Raw genomic sequence first — 18,247 nt, 5'->3', positions numbered from 1 at the left:
AAGATACTTACAAAAAGAACGAACTTGGCATTGGGGACTGAAATAGAGTAAAGTAGAAATGAAACTAAGGGATTTTTGCAATTAAATGTTGGGAAATTTTTTTAAATAAAAGAGGGCCAATAAGCCCAGGCCTTACGCCTGCACTGTGGTGAGGTGCTCAGGATGGCAGGGGGCAAAGCTGTGCAAAGCTTCTGCCAACTCAAGGGCTTACAGCAATCGGTGAAGTCATAGGCATCCAACATCAGGACAAGGACAGATAAAGAAATGCCTCTTAGACAAAATGTTTTGCTATTTTCTGTTTGGAGTAAACCAAATAATATAGAGAATCATTTAAAGAATACTCAGCATGACTTACTGCCCAGCTTATGAAATAAAACATCATCAGAAGTAGATCTGGATATTGTAGGGCCTGAAGTCTATTCAATTTAGGGGGCTCCCCCCCTTTTATTTTTTAACGGCTATTATGCTATGAATTCGTAGGGAATAGGTTCCAAGCAACTTAGGCTTCTTTCCATTGGTTCTCACAAAGTGAGCTTCACAAAGTGGAGAAGGCTGGCACTTCAGGTACTTTTCTCTTTTGCTTCCTTCTTTTTCTGATCCTTTTCCTTTACATGCTTCAGGAAGTTATCTTGGCCCTTAGACTGCTTAATATGCTCAATAAACACATTAATTCTCTCAGCAAGAATCTTGCCTTTAATTTGTTTGTGTCCAAGAACACTGTTGATAGGCTCTTCCAGTTTTGCCGTGGTAACATGTGTGGGGCATTCAGTGAATGCCTTGAGTTGGCAGAAGCTTTGCACAGGTTTGCCTCTGCAATCTTGAGCACCTCACCACAGTGCAGGTGTAAGGCCTGGGCTTATTGGCCCTCTTTTATTTTTAAAAATTGCCTAACATTTAATTTCAAAAATCCCTTAGTCTCTTTTCAACTTATATCCCATTTCAGTCCCTAATACCATGATAACATGTGTGGGGCATTTTTGAACAGTTCCCATTCCCTTGATGTCTGCAACATAACCTTTCTTGTAGATTTGCATGGTTGTGGCCAAAGGAACAACTCCATGTTTTCTAAAAGGCCTAGAGAACATATATTGGTGTCCCTCCTCTTTCCCTTAGTGTTCCTCATTTTGGAGAATAACTGGAAGACGGCAGTTCCTTCTGAAAGGCTAGGGAACTCTTTTTAATAAAAAGAATATAAAACTATGAGTAAATATTAGGTACAAAAATAAAACAAAGCTGGGCACAGAGGCTCACACCTGTAATCCCAGCATTTTGGGAGGCCAAGGCAGGAGGATTTATTGAGGCAAGGAGTTTGAGACCAAGAGCAACATAATCAGATCTCAGCTCTACTAAAAAAATGAAAAAAAAATTAGCTGGCCATGGAGTGCACTCCTACAGTCCCTGCTACTCAAGAGGCTGAGGCAGGAGGAGAACTTGAGCCCTGAAGGTGGAGGCTGCAGGGATCTGTGATCACACCACTGCACTCCAGCCTGGGAGACGGAGCAAGACCCTGTCTCAAAAGTAAAGCAAGAAGTTAATTACAAGAAAAAAGTAAATAGGAAATTACAATTTTTTTAAATCTAATAGTTGCTACTGTGAAAGGAAACATTTTGGGCCCCCAAAATCACTAAGCTAAAGGGAAAATTCAAGCTGGGAACTGTTTAGGGCAAACCTGCCTCCCATTCTATTCAAAGTCATACCTCTCCTCATTAAGATAAATGCATATCTGGTTGCCTCTTTGAAAAGGCTAAACAGAAACTCAAAAGAATGCAGCTGTTTTTCTCTCACCTACCTGTGACTTGGAAGCCCCCTCCCTGCTTCGAGTTGTCCCTCCTTTCCAGACCAAACCGATGTTCATTTTACATATGTTGATTGATGTCTCACGTATCCCTAGAATGTATAAAACCAAACTGTGCTCTGACCATCCTGGACACATGTCGTCAGGACCTCCTGAGGCTGTGTCTTGGGTACGCGCCCTCAACCTTGGCAAAATAAACTTTACAAATTAACTGAGACCTGTCTCAAATTTTCTGGGTTTACATTTTGTTAACCACAAAAGGATTCTCAATGGAGATGCCCCTGACCTTTGACAAATCTCCTATCAGTGCCTGGTACCAGCATGAGCTAACTTTATGGCTCAAACCAACAGGACAATTTGCTGAGGTCTGGGAATATCCCCTCCAGAGAATCCCTGATGTCCCAAAATTTGGTCAAGATCTAAAGCTTATTTTGCTGTACATCCCCTCTTTTTTTTTTTTTTTTTTTTTTTTTTTGGAGTTTTACTTGCTTTCAACAAGAAAGGCAAGTTTTTCTGCTTCCATGACGATGGAAAGCAGGTAACTCCTTTATGGAGTTTGAGCTCACTTCCAATAGGGAAAATGAGGTTTTTTTTTGTTTTGTTTTTTGTTTGTTTGTTTGTTTGTTTGTTTTTCCTGCTTCTAGGATGGTAGAGAGTTGTTTTCAGCCTGAGACCCATCCCTAGGTATGTAGCTGAATTGAGGTTTTGTCTTGGCTAAAGTTAACAAAAAGCTGGTTTTAATTTCTGCTTACCATTAGAGTGCTCAGTGATCATATAAGTTGTGCCATTGTTTATTTCTGTTTTTATTGTTGTTTCAGTCTTTTTCCTGTTGGGTTTCATCAATTCTATCCAACTTGATCAAATCCAAAGGAAAGTTCCAAATTATGGGGAATAAGTCCTCTGAAGTGGTTAAATTCCCACACACAAAAAAGGGTGGTGTAGGAGAAAAATGGCCAGCAAAAGAAAAAAAAAAGAGAAGGGAACATTTTTTTATTTTGATTACTAAAGGGGCTTTATTTTCATAACAAGGCCACCTTTTTGCTAGCTGCCAACTGAAAGCAATGGCTGTCACCTCACCCTGTAGTTCAATAGCTAAAGTTCTGCCTTCTTTTTTTCCCTATCACAACAGCCTAGGTTTGGTTCCTAAATCAAACCCTTTCTGGTTTGATACTTGGTACTTCTGAAATAGCAGCAATTTGTCCTAGATGAAATATAGTAATGAGATTTTAAAAGATTTTTTAAAATGAGCTCAATGGTTAAAAGTCAGCTTAATTAAAAGCTAACATCCAAGGTGTGTTTGTATTTAAAAGGCCTTCATGTTTTTGTTTTGTTTTTTTCTCACCCAAAACCTTGTCTTTTTTTTTTTTTTTTTTTTTTTTGCAAGTTTTTTCTTCTCAGTTGACTGAATTCTGTTTTCTTCATTAATAGCTATTGCAACAGAGGCCACTCTGGGATTTTTAAGGAAGAATGTAGCTTAGACACTTAGAAATGTCTTTATTAAAAAACAAAAAACAACAACAACAAAATTTTTAAGTGCACTATAAAAGCATCACATGGTTTAACCTCAAAATAATTCTCCCTTTTTGGAGACCCAGGATTCAGTGTGGGCTCCTCCCAGAGCTCAGAGATCCAGTTAAAAGACAGGTAGTCCCAGGCCGGGTGTGGTGGTTCACGCCTGTAATCCCAACACTTTGGGAGGTCAAGGTGTGTGGATCACGTGAGGTCAGGAGTTCAAGACCAGCCTGGCCAACATGGTGAAACCGTGTCTCTACTAAAAATACAAAAATTAGCTGGGTGTGGTGGCACATGTCTGTAATCCCAACTACTCAGGGGGCTGAGGCAGGAGAATCACTTGAACCTGGGAGGAGGAGGTTGCAGTGAGCCTAGATCGCACCATTGCACTTCAGCCTGGGCAACAAGAGCAAAACTCCGTCTCAAAAAAAAAGATAGGTAGTCCCTATCTAAATAAAATTTGTCTCCTTATACAATCCTATGATAGATTTCTGTAATTTTGTGTTTGATTTGACATCCATCTTCAATCTCCCTCTAGAACCATCAGACTTTTTCTCTTTGTACCTTATGGTGTAAATTTTGCTATTTGACTTTTCACCTGAGTTGTTTCCTTTAATATGAAAATTTAAGGCTATTTAGCTGAGAACTGCCTAGTGTTGTGAAACAGGTTATCAAGAATCTGGAAGTCTAAGATAGGAAAGAAAAAAGGTCTTTATGAATCTATAAGATGTACTTCTATTGGCATGACTAATATGTCAATGCATTTATGTGTTGTGTACACAATGTTTCACTACTGAAAATATATAAAAGAGCTCTAATTAATTGGCTTAAAGAAAAAGAAAAGCACTTAAATCATCAAATACTTTATCAGAAAAAGGAAGACTAGTCAAATCCTTTTTCAAGTTCATGTAACTTAAGTAAAATATTTAATAAATAAGCTAGCTTTAAAATTATTGGTAAAGTAATATTAGAAATGTCTTAAGAATTGCCAGCATACATTTTTGTTTGCATTTATTAATCAAGCAATTTCATACTTATTACTGCCAAACACTATAAGGTGTCAAAATTTGGCATAGGGATTAGAAAACTATAAACTCAGACCAAAACAGAATGATCTCTGCTTGTGTAATCTTTAATAAATAAGACATTGATATTGGTTTAATAAAAATAGCTAAACCTTAAATTTAGTAAGATTACCATAACTTTAATTTTGTGGCTTTAGGTGGTCTAGTCCACAGGAAGTAAGGTTTGTTATCGTCTTTGTTTCAAAGCTAAACTATAAACTAAGTTCCTCTCAAAATTTGTTTGGCCTATGCCCAGGAATGAACAAGGACAGTTTGAAGGTTAAAAGCAAGATGGGGCCAGTTAAGTTAAATCTTTTTCACTGTCTCAGTTATAATTTTGCAATGGTGGTTCCATAATTTTAAATGATGACTATCACAGTTTTCATAAATAATCTAGGTAAACAATGAAAATAAAATAATTAGGTAAATGTAATAGAATAAATACTTGTAGACACATTCATCATAATTTAGAATCTAAAGTTATATTAAATTAGATAATAGATATTTCATTATTTGGGTATTTTCTAATAAAAATATAATTGTAGGAAAACGTTCTTTCTAAAAAAAAAAGTGTGTCCTTTAAAAAAAAGTGAAAAATTTTTGTCTAATTCAAAGCTTATTTAAAGATCATGTATAAAACAAGGTAAAAGGAACCAGGAAATAAAAGAGATGTAAAGAAAGTTATAAAAATAAAGATTTTTTTTGTAAGAAAGCTTAAAGAGAAATAATTTCATATGAAAAAGAATATTGTGTGGTAAATTTAGTCCTAGAGTAAAATGACATGACTGGTTATTTAAGAAGGAGGGATGTTCAAGACAAACTGGAAAGTCCAAGCATGTCACAAAAGGTCTATGTAAGTCACAATAAGCGGATTTATAAAACAAACAAAACCAAAAACTTTTATATGATCAAGTTGTCATATTATTATTAAGTTTTGGTTTGCTTAGGAAAAAAAGATTAAAACTTTTTTTAAATTAAGGTTACTACATCTGTGTATCTCTCTTGTGAACCCAGAAAATCTCAGACAGGTCTCAGTTAATTTAGAAAGTTTATTTTGCCAAGTTTGAGGACGAGCCCATGACACAGCCTCAGGAAGTCCTGATGACATGTACCCAAAGTGGTCAGGGAACAGCTTGGTTTTATACATTTAGGGAGACATGAGACATCAATCAATATATGTAAGAAGTACATTGGTTCAGTCTGGAAAGGTGGAACAACTTAAAACAAAGGCAGGAAGACTCTAAGTGGGGAGGGAGCTTCCAGGTCACAAATAGATAGTAAACAAACGGTTACATTCTTTTGAGTTTCTGATTAGCCTTTCCAAAGGAGGCAAATTAGATATGTATCTATCTCAGTGAGCAGAGGAGTGACTAAATAGAATGGAAGGCAGGTTTGCCCTAAGCAGTTTCCAGCTTGAGATTTCCTTAGTGATTTTGGGGGCCCAAGATATTTCCTTTCACACTCTTTATGCTCTTTTAAAGTACTTGTGACATTGAGTTACAGGGCTTTGATGCCTTGGTCTAAAAAGGACATCAAAGTCCTGCTAATTTTTTAAACACTGACAGCCATTAAAGCCCCCCATCTTCAGGCCTGGTAGAAGATGCCAATCAAAATAAACTGTATTCCTGAAACACAGGGCCAGAAATTAAAGCTATTAAACTCCTCAAGGCCCAGGGACTATCACAGAAGAGATGGGCATGTGAGATTGTGAGGGCCAATTTTAAGAGATAAAACAAGTTCTGTTTCTCTACATGTTAATCATTAATGTCAAAGGCACACTGATGCAAGACCAGCATATGGGCCCCTGTGTCAGATTAACAAGGTTTTCTTGAAGCATTAACCAACTCCTAAAGGTTATAAAGGTTATGAAAGGCTTATGAAAGTTATATCTTATGGTCAAGATTAAAATGTTATAGATTGTTTATAAAATTTTGAAAAATGAATTTAATTGGCTTCATGCTGTTTTTATTAGGGCTTATTGTTTGGAAAATTAAGTCTCCTCTCTCAAAGAATGAAGGTTTTCACCTTTTTTGGGGAAATCCTTGAGTTATCACTTTGGTTAAATGAATAACTTATTTCACAATGACCTATTAATTCTATTTTGTGATATCAAGTGTTTTAAACCTTTGATATTTGACAAACTTTCCAAAATCAAACTATAAATTATGTCTTTTTCTGACCTAATTAATCCTTTAAGATATTGTTGGGCCTGGCACAGTGGCTCACACCTGTAATCCCAGCACTTTGGGAAGCCAAGGCCAGCGGATCATGAGGTCAAAAGATCGAGACCATCCTGGCCAACGTGGTGAAACCCCATCTTTACTAAAAATACAAAAATTAGCTGGGTGTGGTGGCGCATGCCTGTAGTCCCAGCTACTCGTGAGGCTGAGGCAGGAGAATCACTTGAACCTGAGGGGCAGAGGTTGCCGTGAGCCAAGATTGCACCACTGCACTCCAGCTTGGCGACAGAATGAGACTCCCTCTCAAAAAAAAAAAAAAAAAGGTATTATTAATAGGTTCCCTAGAGTCCGAAAATGACATATTTGGCTTATTTGGTATAAAAATTATACAGGAAGCATAGTCAAATATGAAATGGTGTTTGGTTTTCTTTGGGCTGTATTTGTATAAATATGTTACTGGTATGTGTTCCAAAATCATGGGAAACTCCTGTAATTTTGGTATGACTTAGTGTACATTATCAGTAATAATTATAATTGTTATGTTAAATTATCATATGCCACAGAGATAACAAATTTCCTTGTCAATTGTTTCTTTATGGCTGCCCTAAAACCTTTCATCATCCACAGACAATTGTTGTCTTGTTTTGGTCCTCCTTAGAAGGTGGTTTTATAATCAGCTATAGAACTCTAACAGGTGTTCTTAAATGCAGGTTTCTGATAACTTTGGAGATTGTAACCTTAGAATAGAGGAAAAAACTTTCAGGACTCTCATGGAGAGCTGAAGTGTTCACGAATATCAAGCAGAACAGGATTAACTGCATAAACTAAACTGATAGAAGACTAAAGTAATATTTTTAACTTTTTGCTTAAAACGTTGCTGATCCTTTTTTTTGTTTTTCAGAGTCAAGAAAACTTTTCTTTTAAGCTATTTACAGCTTTTAGCAATTGACTAAAGTATACTCCCATGAACAAAACTTGGGGCATATTTGTGTCTCTCTGCCTAATTTCTCCAGAATTTGGAAATTATTTGTGAGTATTTGTAACTTATAACAATACAGCTATTTACGTAAGTGCAGTAAGAATCTGTTTCCATTTGTAACAGGACACAATTGGAGAAACTGGTTATTTTATCAAGACTTTGACTGGAATGGTGTGCTTTCCCTTGGAATCAAACTTGACTTCTGGAACCAAGATAGCCCCTTGGAAAAATTGGCCTCTTACCTTTATCTACACAGCCCCTGTACAGGGTTCCTGATCTGTGGTAGGTAAAGAATGTCACTTTCTGACAGGCCCAGGAGCCCCAAGTTTACCTTGGAACCTCAAGAGGAGAGGTTAACTCAATTCATAGGTATTTGATAGCACAAATCCACGGCTGGGCTCAGCTTTAAAGAAGTCTTATCTGAGATTCTTTCTACAGAACACAGTTTCATCAAAGCCAATTTAAAAGCCTATGTAAAAAATAATTATTCTTACCAGCCTGGCCAACATGGTGAAATCCCATCTCTACTAAAAATATAAAAATTAGCTGGGTGTGAAAGCACATACCTGTAATCCCAGCTACTTGGGAAGCTGAGGCAGGAGAATCACTTGAACCCAGGAGGTGGAGGTTGCAGTGAGCTGAGATCACGCCACTGCACTCCAGCCTGGGCAGCAGAGTGAGACTCCATCTCAAAAAATATATATATATTCTTGCTGCTCTGTATACAAATAATTAGGCCAAGTATAATAAAGCAAACAAGTCCTACCATAATTTGTCTTTAGTAAAAATGGGAAACTGGAGAGAGAAAAGATTGTTTCAAAAAGTGTAGTACACCTATTGTTAGATTTTAGTCTTGCCTAATGTTTTGCAATTTTTATTGTTTTCTACAGTTTGGACTGAATTCTAATTTTTGTTGGCTACAAGTCTTCAAAATAATGTTTTCAATTGTTTTCCTTCTTTTTTCCCCATTTTTCCTAATTTGGAGTCACTAAAAAACTAAGTTGTGCTTTCGTAAAGCTCTGCAAACTGAAGCTAGACAACTTAAACTTCAGAAGAAAATAACAGCAACCTATTTACATACATAAACCGCTTTCATACCTGCCTACTGATGTATGGACTACAGAGTAATGTGGCCTATATCAATTTTCCAGGATTTTTCTTTTGTTTATTGTTGTTTGTATCCCTTCCTCCCCCTAATTTCTCTGCATAGGACATGAGACTTCACAACCTTCTAAAAATGAGCTTTGCTAATAACTTAGGACCTACCTGTCTAGGAACGAACCATCCTAACCAAGAGAGATTAGAAAAAAGCTGGGACCAGAGACTCATTTTCTTCTAAAATGCTTTCTCCAGAAGATTTTTTTTAAAGGGTGGAGAAAATGTGAAAGGAAAAGATCTCGGCCCCCAAAATCACAAAGCCAAAGGGAAAATTCAAGCTGGGAACTGTTTAGGGCAAACCTGCTTCCCATTCTATTCAAAGTCATCCCTCTGCTCACTAAGATAAATGCGTATCTGATTGCCTCCTTTGAAAAGGCTAAACAGAAACTCAAAAGAATGCCCCTGTTTGTGTCTCATCTTCCTGTGACCTGGAAGCCCATTCCATGCTTCGAGCTGTCCCTCCTTTCCAGACCAAACCGATGTTCATTTTCCATATGTTGATTGATGTCCCGTGTCTCCCTAGAATGTATAAAACCAAACTGTGTTCTGACCACCTTGGACATATGTTGTCAGGCCCTCCGAAGGCTGTGTCGTGGGGACACGTCCTCAACCTTGGAAAATAAACTTTCTAAATTAACTGAGACCTGTCACAAATTTTCTGGGTTCACACTACAAATATCACAAAATCCAGAAAATGACATTATATTTTTATTTTATTTTTAAAATTAGAGACGTGCATTGCTATGTTGCCCAGGCTGGAGTGTAGTGGCTGTTCATAGGCACTATCTTGCGACTGATCAGCGCCTGTATTTTGACTTGCTCTGTTTCTGACCTGGGCCAGTTCTCTCCTTCTTAGGTAACCTGGTGGTCCCCTGCTCCCAGGAGGTCACTATATTGATGCTGAACTTAATGTGGACACCTGATTGGCACAATACACTACAAGCCCAGAACGTCTAGGCTAAAGGGATCTTTCTACCTCATCCTCCCAAGTAACTGGAACTATAGGCACATGCCACTGCACCTGATATCTTTACTAATTAACTGCTTGACATAGTTAATGATATTTTTTTCTTATATTTTTGGCTGTATACTTTTTGAGTGCCTCCTCCTATAAAAATTATTTTGTAAATATCATTTTCCCTAGGGAAAATAAAAAGATAATTCAGCCTTTCCTCTGTCATGGTTGATCAAATGTGTCTTTTAAAACATCTTATTTTGAAATATTACAAAAAATTGCAAAAATAATACAAAAAATTCCTGCATACTTTTCACTCAGCTTCCCCAAATGTCAACATTTTAAATAACCTTAGAACAATGATCAAAACCAGGAAATTAACATTGGTACAACACCACTAACTAAACTAATGGCTTTATTCTAATTTCACCAGTTTTCTCACTAATGTCCTATTTCTGGTCCAGGATTGAATTCAGGACCCCACATTGCATTTAGTTGTGATAACCTACAGGTCACGTTTGGCAGTCTTCCAAATTAGCCTACCTGGGGCAAGTCTTATGATTCATGGCTTACATAGCATTTCTGAGTAAAGAATCTTACGATGAGTCTCTCAAATCTTATTGAAAATTTCTCAAACTGTTGACGTACACATTAATATGTAACCTACTGACACTGAAAAGGACACTGATTTGTTTCTGAATCATGAAGTGTTACTGATTGTCTTAAACATGGACATTTTAACTTGTATGTTGTCATCTGTAGCCAAGGACTGTAACCTCTGTATTGTGCCATTCAATGAAAAAGGACAACTCCAGTATGAAGAGTCTCCATCCCTTCTTCTAAACTTTCTTATAAAATCATTCCAACTTCTAACGACAGACTTTGGAATACACCCAGCTTTATTGGCGTGTCTTCCCAGATTGATCCTCACATTTGGCTTCCAATAAACCTTTATCAATTTATTTCTGCCTCAACAGCCTTAATTTCCATCAACAAAATGGCATAGCTGACAGGATTTCAGAGTGACCTCCCTGGACTACCTAGACCTGCTTCCAACCTTTGTGCATGTGCCAGCACAAAATCCATTGTGTTCCTGGACTTAGATGCCCCTGCTGAGTGCTACAGATGAGTTCCTCCTGAAATCAATGAAGTTCCTGTCTTGGTTGATGTTCTGGTTTATTAAAGCTGGTTTCCTCCTTGGCTACGTGGTACAATGACTGTCTCAGAACGAGAGCTGCTGCTATGAATTCAAGATAAGGGCTTTTGTTAAATACTAGGGCAGGGTAAAATAGAAGCTTTGTAAATTGTTTCCCTGGTGATTTGGGGTGAGACCTTTCCTTAGCTTTTTCCTTTTCCAGTCGCATGAGGGCACTCTTACTCTACTCCATAACTTGTCCTCACACAAAGCTAAAATGGGAAGTGCACTCTAAGACACCTGCTGAGTTTTAGGTATAATACTTACCATCCTTCCACTTGCAAGTGCCTAGATAAGCAGTAGATCCCCTAACCCAGGGTGGTTATAAGCAGCAGTGGCCAAAATGGAGCTGTTCCGAAAATGCCTAAGATAATTTATTTGCACACACAGTTGAAAAAAAGCTGGTTTTAGATACAGACAAATTGAATGGAAGATTTACTTCCAATAACACCTACAAGCTTCTAAAAAAATTATTTTAAAAATGCCTCAATTCAAGAGGTAAAAAAGATATGTGAAACGATTTGAAAATTTTAATGATTTAGGAGGCTTTCTCCTTTTTGCCTCTAGCTGCTCCTCCTCCTTCTACCCCCGTAATCAGAACTCAGCTCTTCCTGTTTGTTCTCCTGGCTCCCATACACCTCTTAGGCACAGATTTTTTAGAATTTCACAATACACACATTTCCTTCCCTCAAAAGGGGGAAATATATTTAAATTTAAAACAAGGGGAACAAACAAAACAACTGCAGAATGAAAATAGAACTACTGAGATCATAAAAATACGAATCCAACAGTTTTTCTAAACTGAGAGATTAATATTTTAAAAATGAGATTCTCAAACATTAAGACATGCCAGGCCAAGCACAGTGGCTCACGCCTGTAATCCCAGCACTTTGGGATGCTGAGGTGGGAAGAACACTTGAGTCTAGGAGTTTGAGACCAGCCTGGGCAACATGGCAAAACCCCATCTCTACCCAAAAAATGCAAAAATTAGCCAGGCACGGTGGTATGCACCTGTAGTCCCAGCTATTAGGGAGGCTGAAGTTGGGGGATCACTTGAGACCAGGAGAGAGAGGTTGCAATGAGCTGTGATCATGCCACTGCACTCCAGCCTGGGCAACAGAGTGAAACTCTGTCTCGGAAAAATAAAAAAAGACATACTGGGTTTTCTGAGACTCCAGCTAGATACATATTATGGCCCATTGTTGTGCACATCTTAAAATAATAGACAGATTAGAACTCAAGTGGTCCACCCAGAACTACAGAGTTAACATGTAGGATCGTCTAAGTTCTCTGTCTACCTCTATATATTTTTTCTGCCTACTTTGAAACTACTGACTTTTCTACTTGTGTTGAGATAAAGCTCACTGTTTATAGTATTACTAACTTAAGAAGACTTAGAAATTTTGTTTTTCTTATACGATTCAGCCAGTTCAAGCTAAAATGTTAACATTAAAAACCTAACTCTAAACTCATTTGAAACTGAATAAAAGGATAAAAGATTTTTAAAATAAAACTGCCATCGAACTACCTTACCCAAAAATTTTGGCTCACAGCCTTCATTAGATTACCTATTGGGACAAATAAAATTTAGCCATGTGAACTAACAGGTCCCAATTTTTTCCAAAAATAATTTAGATCCAACTATCTTTTATAAACTGGTGAGTTTGTATTACTATCTCATGACTAAAATTCTAAAATGAAAACTATAAGGGCCAGATGAGGTGACTCATGCCAGCAGTCCCAGCACTTTGGGAGGCCAAGGTAGGAGGATCATTTGCGCCCAGGAGCTCAAGACCAGCCCTGGCAACATAGTGAGACTCTGACTCTACAAAAAAAAAACTTTTTTAAGTTAGCTGGGCATGGCGGCACGCACCTGTAGTCCCAGGTACTCAGGAGGCTGAGGTGGGAGAATCACTTGAGCCTGGGAGGTCCAGGCTGCAGTGAGCCATGGTCATACCACTGCTCTCTACCCTGGGCAACAGAGTGAGGCCCTGTTTCAAAAGACAAATCAAAAAATAAAGGTATAAGATCTCTATTTGTGCATATATATGTGTGTTTAGATGTGTTTACATATATACATGTAATATGTTATATGTTGTATCTACATGATACCCAATTGACTTATAGATAAATGAGCACTCATAAATTAGTAAGCCCAAAGGTTTTCCAAGTTCACATGACTTAAGTAATTCTTTAATAAATAAACTGGCTTTAAAATTATTAGTAAAATAAATATTAAAATGTCTTCAAAATTGTCAACATACATATTTGCCTAGATTTATGGTCAGATTTATACTTGTCTTATTAAATATTTTACAGGGTCAGGATTTGGCACAAAGGTAAAAAACTATGAACCCAGCCAAAACCAAAATAATCTTTGTGTGATTTTTTTTATAAGTAAGACTAATTTAATATTGTTGGTTTAAGAAATACAGCTAAACCTTCTGAGTTATCAACAAAATACCCATGTATTTAACTTTAAATTTCTTGCTTAGGTAAATATCTGACATTCACAGGCTATAAAAATGGTTAATAGAAAAAAACTTAAAAAACTGAGCACAGGCCAGGCATGGTGGCTCATGTGTGTAATCCTAGCACTTTGGGACCCTAAGGTGGGAGAATCACTTGAGCTCAGGAGTTTGAGACCAGCCTGGGCAACATAATGAGATCTCATCTCCATTTAAAAAATATATATATATTAAATTTTTAAAAAAGCTGGGCACAGTGGTTCATGACTGTTATCCTAATGCTTTAGGAGGCCAAGGCAGGTGGATCATTTGAGATCAGGAGTTCAAGACAAGCCTAAGCAACATAGTGAGACACTGTCTCTACAACACAGTGAGATACTGTCTCTACAAAAATTTTGAAAATTAGTCTGGCATGGTGGCACTTACCTGTAGTCCTGGCCACTCAGGAAGCTGAGAAGGGAGGATTGCTTGTGCCCAGGAGTTGAGGTTACGATGAGCTGATCATGCCACTGCATGATAATAATTTATTACATGGTAAATTATTTTCCTAAAGCAAAATGACAGGTTAATTATAAAAGAGAAAGGGTAGGGCAAAACAAAAGTTCAAACATGTCATAAATAGTCTACAGAAATCATAATAGGCCTGGCGTGGTGACTCATGCCTGTAATCCCAGCACTTTGGGAGGCTGAAGTGGGCGGATCACAAGGTCAGGAGTTCGAGACCAGCACAGCCAAAATGGTGAAACCTCATCTCTACTAAAAATACAAAAAGTAGCCAGGTATGGTGGCGCATGCCTGTAGTCCCAGCTACTCGGGAGGCTGAGGCGGGAGAATCACTTGAACCTGGAATGCGGAGTTTGCAGTGAGCCAAGATAGTGACACTGTACTCCAGCCTGGGCAACAGACTCCATCTCAAAAAAAAAAAAAAAAAAAAAAGAAATTATAATAAAGTTCTTTAAAATTTTTTTAAATGTATATGTGATTAAGTTGGCTATAATCAAAAAAAAGTTATAAGTGTTTCTAAAGATTGAGATTTTGGTCCTCTATGTTAAAATAACATTGTCTTAAAGTATAAATTTGCTCTTAGTGAATTACAAGAGCTTTTGATTTTAAATTCTACAATCTATTTCTTTTCTAAAACTTCTCAAATTTATATCTCAAAAAATTCTACTTGTGCTATACCTCGCTGCACATGATTCCCAAGTCATGAATCGTTGTTGTTCGTTCTTTATACCCTTAAAAAGATACATGTTTTTCTTGGTTGAAATGATAATCCTCTCCTTCAACCTTTTTGTCAACTTCTGTAATCTTTGACTTTTTTTTTTTTTTTTTTTTTTGAGATGAAATTTTGCTCTTGTCACCCAGGCTGGAGTGCAGTGGCAAGATCTCCGCTTACTGCAACCTCCGCCTCCCAGGTTCAAGTGATTCTCCTGCCTCAGCCTCCGAGTAGCTGGGATTAGAGGCATTCGCCGCCGTGCCCAGCTAATTTTTGTATTTTTAGTAGAGACAGAGTTTCATCATTCTAGCCAGCCTGGTCTTAAACTCCTGACCTCAGCTGATCCACCCGCCTCGGCCTCCCGAAGTGCTGGGATTGCAGGCATGAGTCACCATGCCCAGCCAACTTCTGTAATTTTTTTTTTTTTTTTTGAGATGGAGTCTTGCTGTGTCACCCAGGCTGGAGTGCAGTGCCGCGATCTAGGCTCACTGCAAGCTCCGCCTCCCAGGTTCACGCCATTCTCCTGCCTCAGCCTCCCGAGTAGCTGGGACTACAGGCGCCCGCCACCACGCCCGGCTAATTTTTTGTATTTTTAGTAGAGACGGGGTTTCATCGTGTTAGCCAGGATGGTCTCGATCTCCTGACCTCGTGATCTGCCCACCTCGGCCTCCCAAAGTGCTGGGATTACAGGCGTGAGCTACTGTGCCCGGCCTTCTGTAATCTTTTTCTCTGGTTCTAACTCTGGTGTGGCCTGATGCTAAAATGTTTATCTTAAAGCTCTGGAACAAAACCATTTTCCTCCAATATAACTTGATTCTGTAGTCTTGGCTTTTCTCGATATAGCTAAATTATTTCCTATAACCAGGGCACTTTTGATGCTGTTACTGAGACATATTTATTGTCCTGCTTAAGATACAAGTTTCCTTGTTTACTTTCCTCAAAAATATAGTGTACACTCATAACTCTGGACACACTCTTCCTGTATTTTAATTAAATCCAAGTATCCTTTTTTTTTTTCTCGCTCTGTCTCCAGGCTGCAGTACAGTGGCATCATCTCAGCTCACTGCAACCTCCGCCTCCCAGGTTCAAGCGATTCTCCTGCCTCCATCTCCCAAGGAGCTGGGACTACAGGTGCGCACCACCACGCCCAGCTGATTTTTGTATTTTTAGTAGAGACGGGGTTTCACCATGTTGGCCAGGATGGTCTCGATGTCTTGACCTCATGATCCGCCCACCTCGGCCTCCCAAAGTGCTGGAAGTACAGGCGTGAGCCACCGCGCCCAGCCTAAATCCAAGTATTCTTTTCATTGAGTTTGTCTTCCAGGTTATCTAAATAGAGTTCCAATAAAGAAAAACAATCATATTACAAAAGGTTTTTCTTTACTTTTTAGTAACTATCCTAAAATTTTTCTTAATGTTTTATCAAGGTAATTCCTGTGACTTACTGTGTTTTGATCACTTTAAAAAAAAAAGCTTTAAAAAGGTGAAGATTTTTTACATCCACATAACTTTCTTTCTTTCTCTCTCTGTTTCTTTTTTTTTTTTTTTTTTTTTTTGAGATAGGGTCTTGCTCTGTCTTCCAGGTTGGAGTGCAGTGGCACAATCACAGCTCACTGCAGCCTCAACCTGTGAGGCTCAAGAAATCCTCCCACCTGAACCTCCGGAGTAGCTGGGACCAAAGGCACACACCAGTACACTGCCTATTTTATTTATTTATTTTTTGTTTATTTATTCATTTATTTTTTAAATTTTTGGTTGAGACAGGGACTCATTAGGTTTCCCAGGCTGGTCTCGAACTTCTGGGCTCAAGTGATCCTCCCGCCTTGGCCTTCCAGTGTTGGGATTACAGGGATGAGCCACCACATCCAGCCTTTTATCTTTTTTTTTTTTCTGAGATAGAGTCTCGCTCTTGTCGCCCAGGCTGTAGTGCAATGGCGCGAACTTGGCTCATTGAAACCTCTGCCTCCCGGGTTCAAGTGATTCTCCTGCCTCAGCCTCCCAAGTAGCTGGGATTACAGGTGCCTGCCACCATGCCCAGCTAATTTTTTTGTATTTTTAGTAGAGATGGGGTTTCATCATGTTGGGCAGGCTGGTCTCAAACTCCTGACCTCAGGTGATCCATCCATTTCGGCCTCCCAAAGTGCTGGGATTACAGGCATGAGCCAACATGCCTGGCCCTTTTATCTTCTTTAGAGTTCTCTTTTCTTCTTACTAGCACACAGGTTGGCAAACCATGACCCACAGGCCAAATGCAGCCCACTGTTTGTTTTTGTAAATAAAGTTTCATTGGAACACAGTAACATTTGAACAGTAAACACAGTAACATTTGAACACATTTGTTCAAATATTATCTATGGCTGCTTTCACATTTACAACAGCAGAGTCGAGTAGCTGCAACAGAGACCAAATCCTCCTCAGAGCATAAAATATTTATTTTTCTTTTCAGGAGAAGTATAACAGCTCCTATACTATCCAGTCCCTCATTATTCCAATCCCATTATAGTTAATAATTTTTTTATGTTAAACTTTCCCTGTTCAAATTGTTGTGTAGTTTCTCACTTCTGATTGAACCCTGTCTGATACATCTCCAACCTCTCTGGCCGTTTCTCAGTCAATTTTTGGGCTCCCCTCCCTCTACCCATTTCATAATGTTAGGGTTCCTCAAAGCTTCCCTCTGCTTTTAGATAGGTTTTTGCTCTGCCACCCAGGGTGGAGTGCAGTGGCACAATTCTAGCTCACTGCAGCCTCCAACTCCTGACTCAAACAATCCTCCCACCTCAGCCTCCCAAAGAGCTGGGACTACAGATGTGTACCACCATGCCTAGCTAATTTTTTAGTAGAGATAATCAATGGTTTTTAATCTAGATTCCATTATGGCTCCAATGTGTCTATAAACCACCTGAAATTATATGCAAATTTTATATGGATATGCAAATACACACAAGTATGGGGAGAAATTTCCAGCTTCATCTTTTGGCAATATAGCTCAATAGTTAAGGGCACAATAGACCCTGCATACAACTTGGTGGACAAAAGTGACTGCATCTGGGATGCTAATCTGCAATGCTGACTTCAATGTTGACTGCAATGTTGATTAGCCCCAGTCCTGTGAATATCTCCTGATTCCTACTTTATTTACTGTCCCTAGTGTAAGAACATGTCAACCTTGATGTTATTGCACAAATTATTATCTATTACACATGTAGCATTCTTGCCTGTTCTGGAGGGCTACCTTTAATTGTCTTGCACAGAGCAGTTTGACTCTTTCCCTACAGTATATAAACTCTGAGTGTGGAGCTTACATGTACAGAAATCTGCCACCCAAGCCCACATTTCTGTCTGTAAATTCCCACAGTAAAACACCCTTACCAAGAAACTGGATTTGTCTGCCTCAACCTTTGGTGTCTTGGCTCCTCTGGCATTTGGGGGCCACTTTGCATATAGGGCCCTCTCATGGAACACCACCTGCTTCAGTTTGAATCCCAGCTCTGCCTCTTTGACCTAGGCTAGCTTACACGGTGCCTCAGTTTTCTTGTCTGTAAAATAGGGAAAATTATAGTACCTACCTCTTAGAGTTGTTATGGGAATTAAGAGTTAATATATATATATAAATCATTGGGACAGGGCCTGGCCATAATTAAGCAGTATTTAAGCACTGGCTATTATTGCCATTTCTGGCACTCTCCCTTCTCCCTAGACGGTTTTCTGTTGCTCTAGTGCACCCT

The 18,247-nt window shown here is 38.6% G+C and overlaps 2 protein-coding genes and 2 pseudogenes across 3 annotated transcripts in view; all 4 read right to left on the bottom strand.

The window, feature by feature from the left end:
* Positions 1-13,782, bottom strand: part of RDH12 (retinol dehydrogenase 12) — a 32,566-nt gene extending 18,784 nt beyond the window's left edge. For both annotated transcript variants that reach the window (XM_047430965.1, NM_152443.3), the window contains exon 1: positions 13,733-13,782. The gene's annotated coding sequence lies outside the window, so the exon portion shown is untranslated. The remainder of the gene's footprint in view (positions 1-13,732) is intronic.
* GPHN (gephyrin) overlaps positions 1-18,247 on the bottom strand; it is a 1,227,209-nt gene that overhangs the window by 19,688 nt on the left and 1,189,274 nt on the right. The window lies entirely within an intron of this gene.
* On the bottom strand, positions 443-1,163 carry RPL21P9 (ribosomal protein L21 pseudogene 9; annotated as a pseudogene).
* RN7SL369P (RNA, 7SL, cytoplasmic 369, pseudogene) lies at positions 9,416-9,714 on the bottom strand (annotated as a pseudogene).

Source organism: Homo sapiens, chromosome 14, assembly GCF_000001405.40.
Source record: "Homo sapiens chromosome 14, GRCh38.p14 Primary Assembly".
Lineage (NCBI taxonomy): Eukaryota > Metazoa > Chordata > Mammalia > Primates > Hominidae > Homo > Homo sapiens.
Note: the sequence above shows the minus strand (reverse complement) of the source record. Positions and strands in the feature narration are given on the sequence as shown.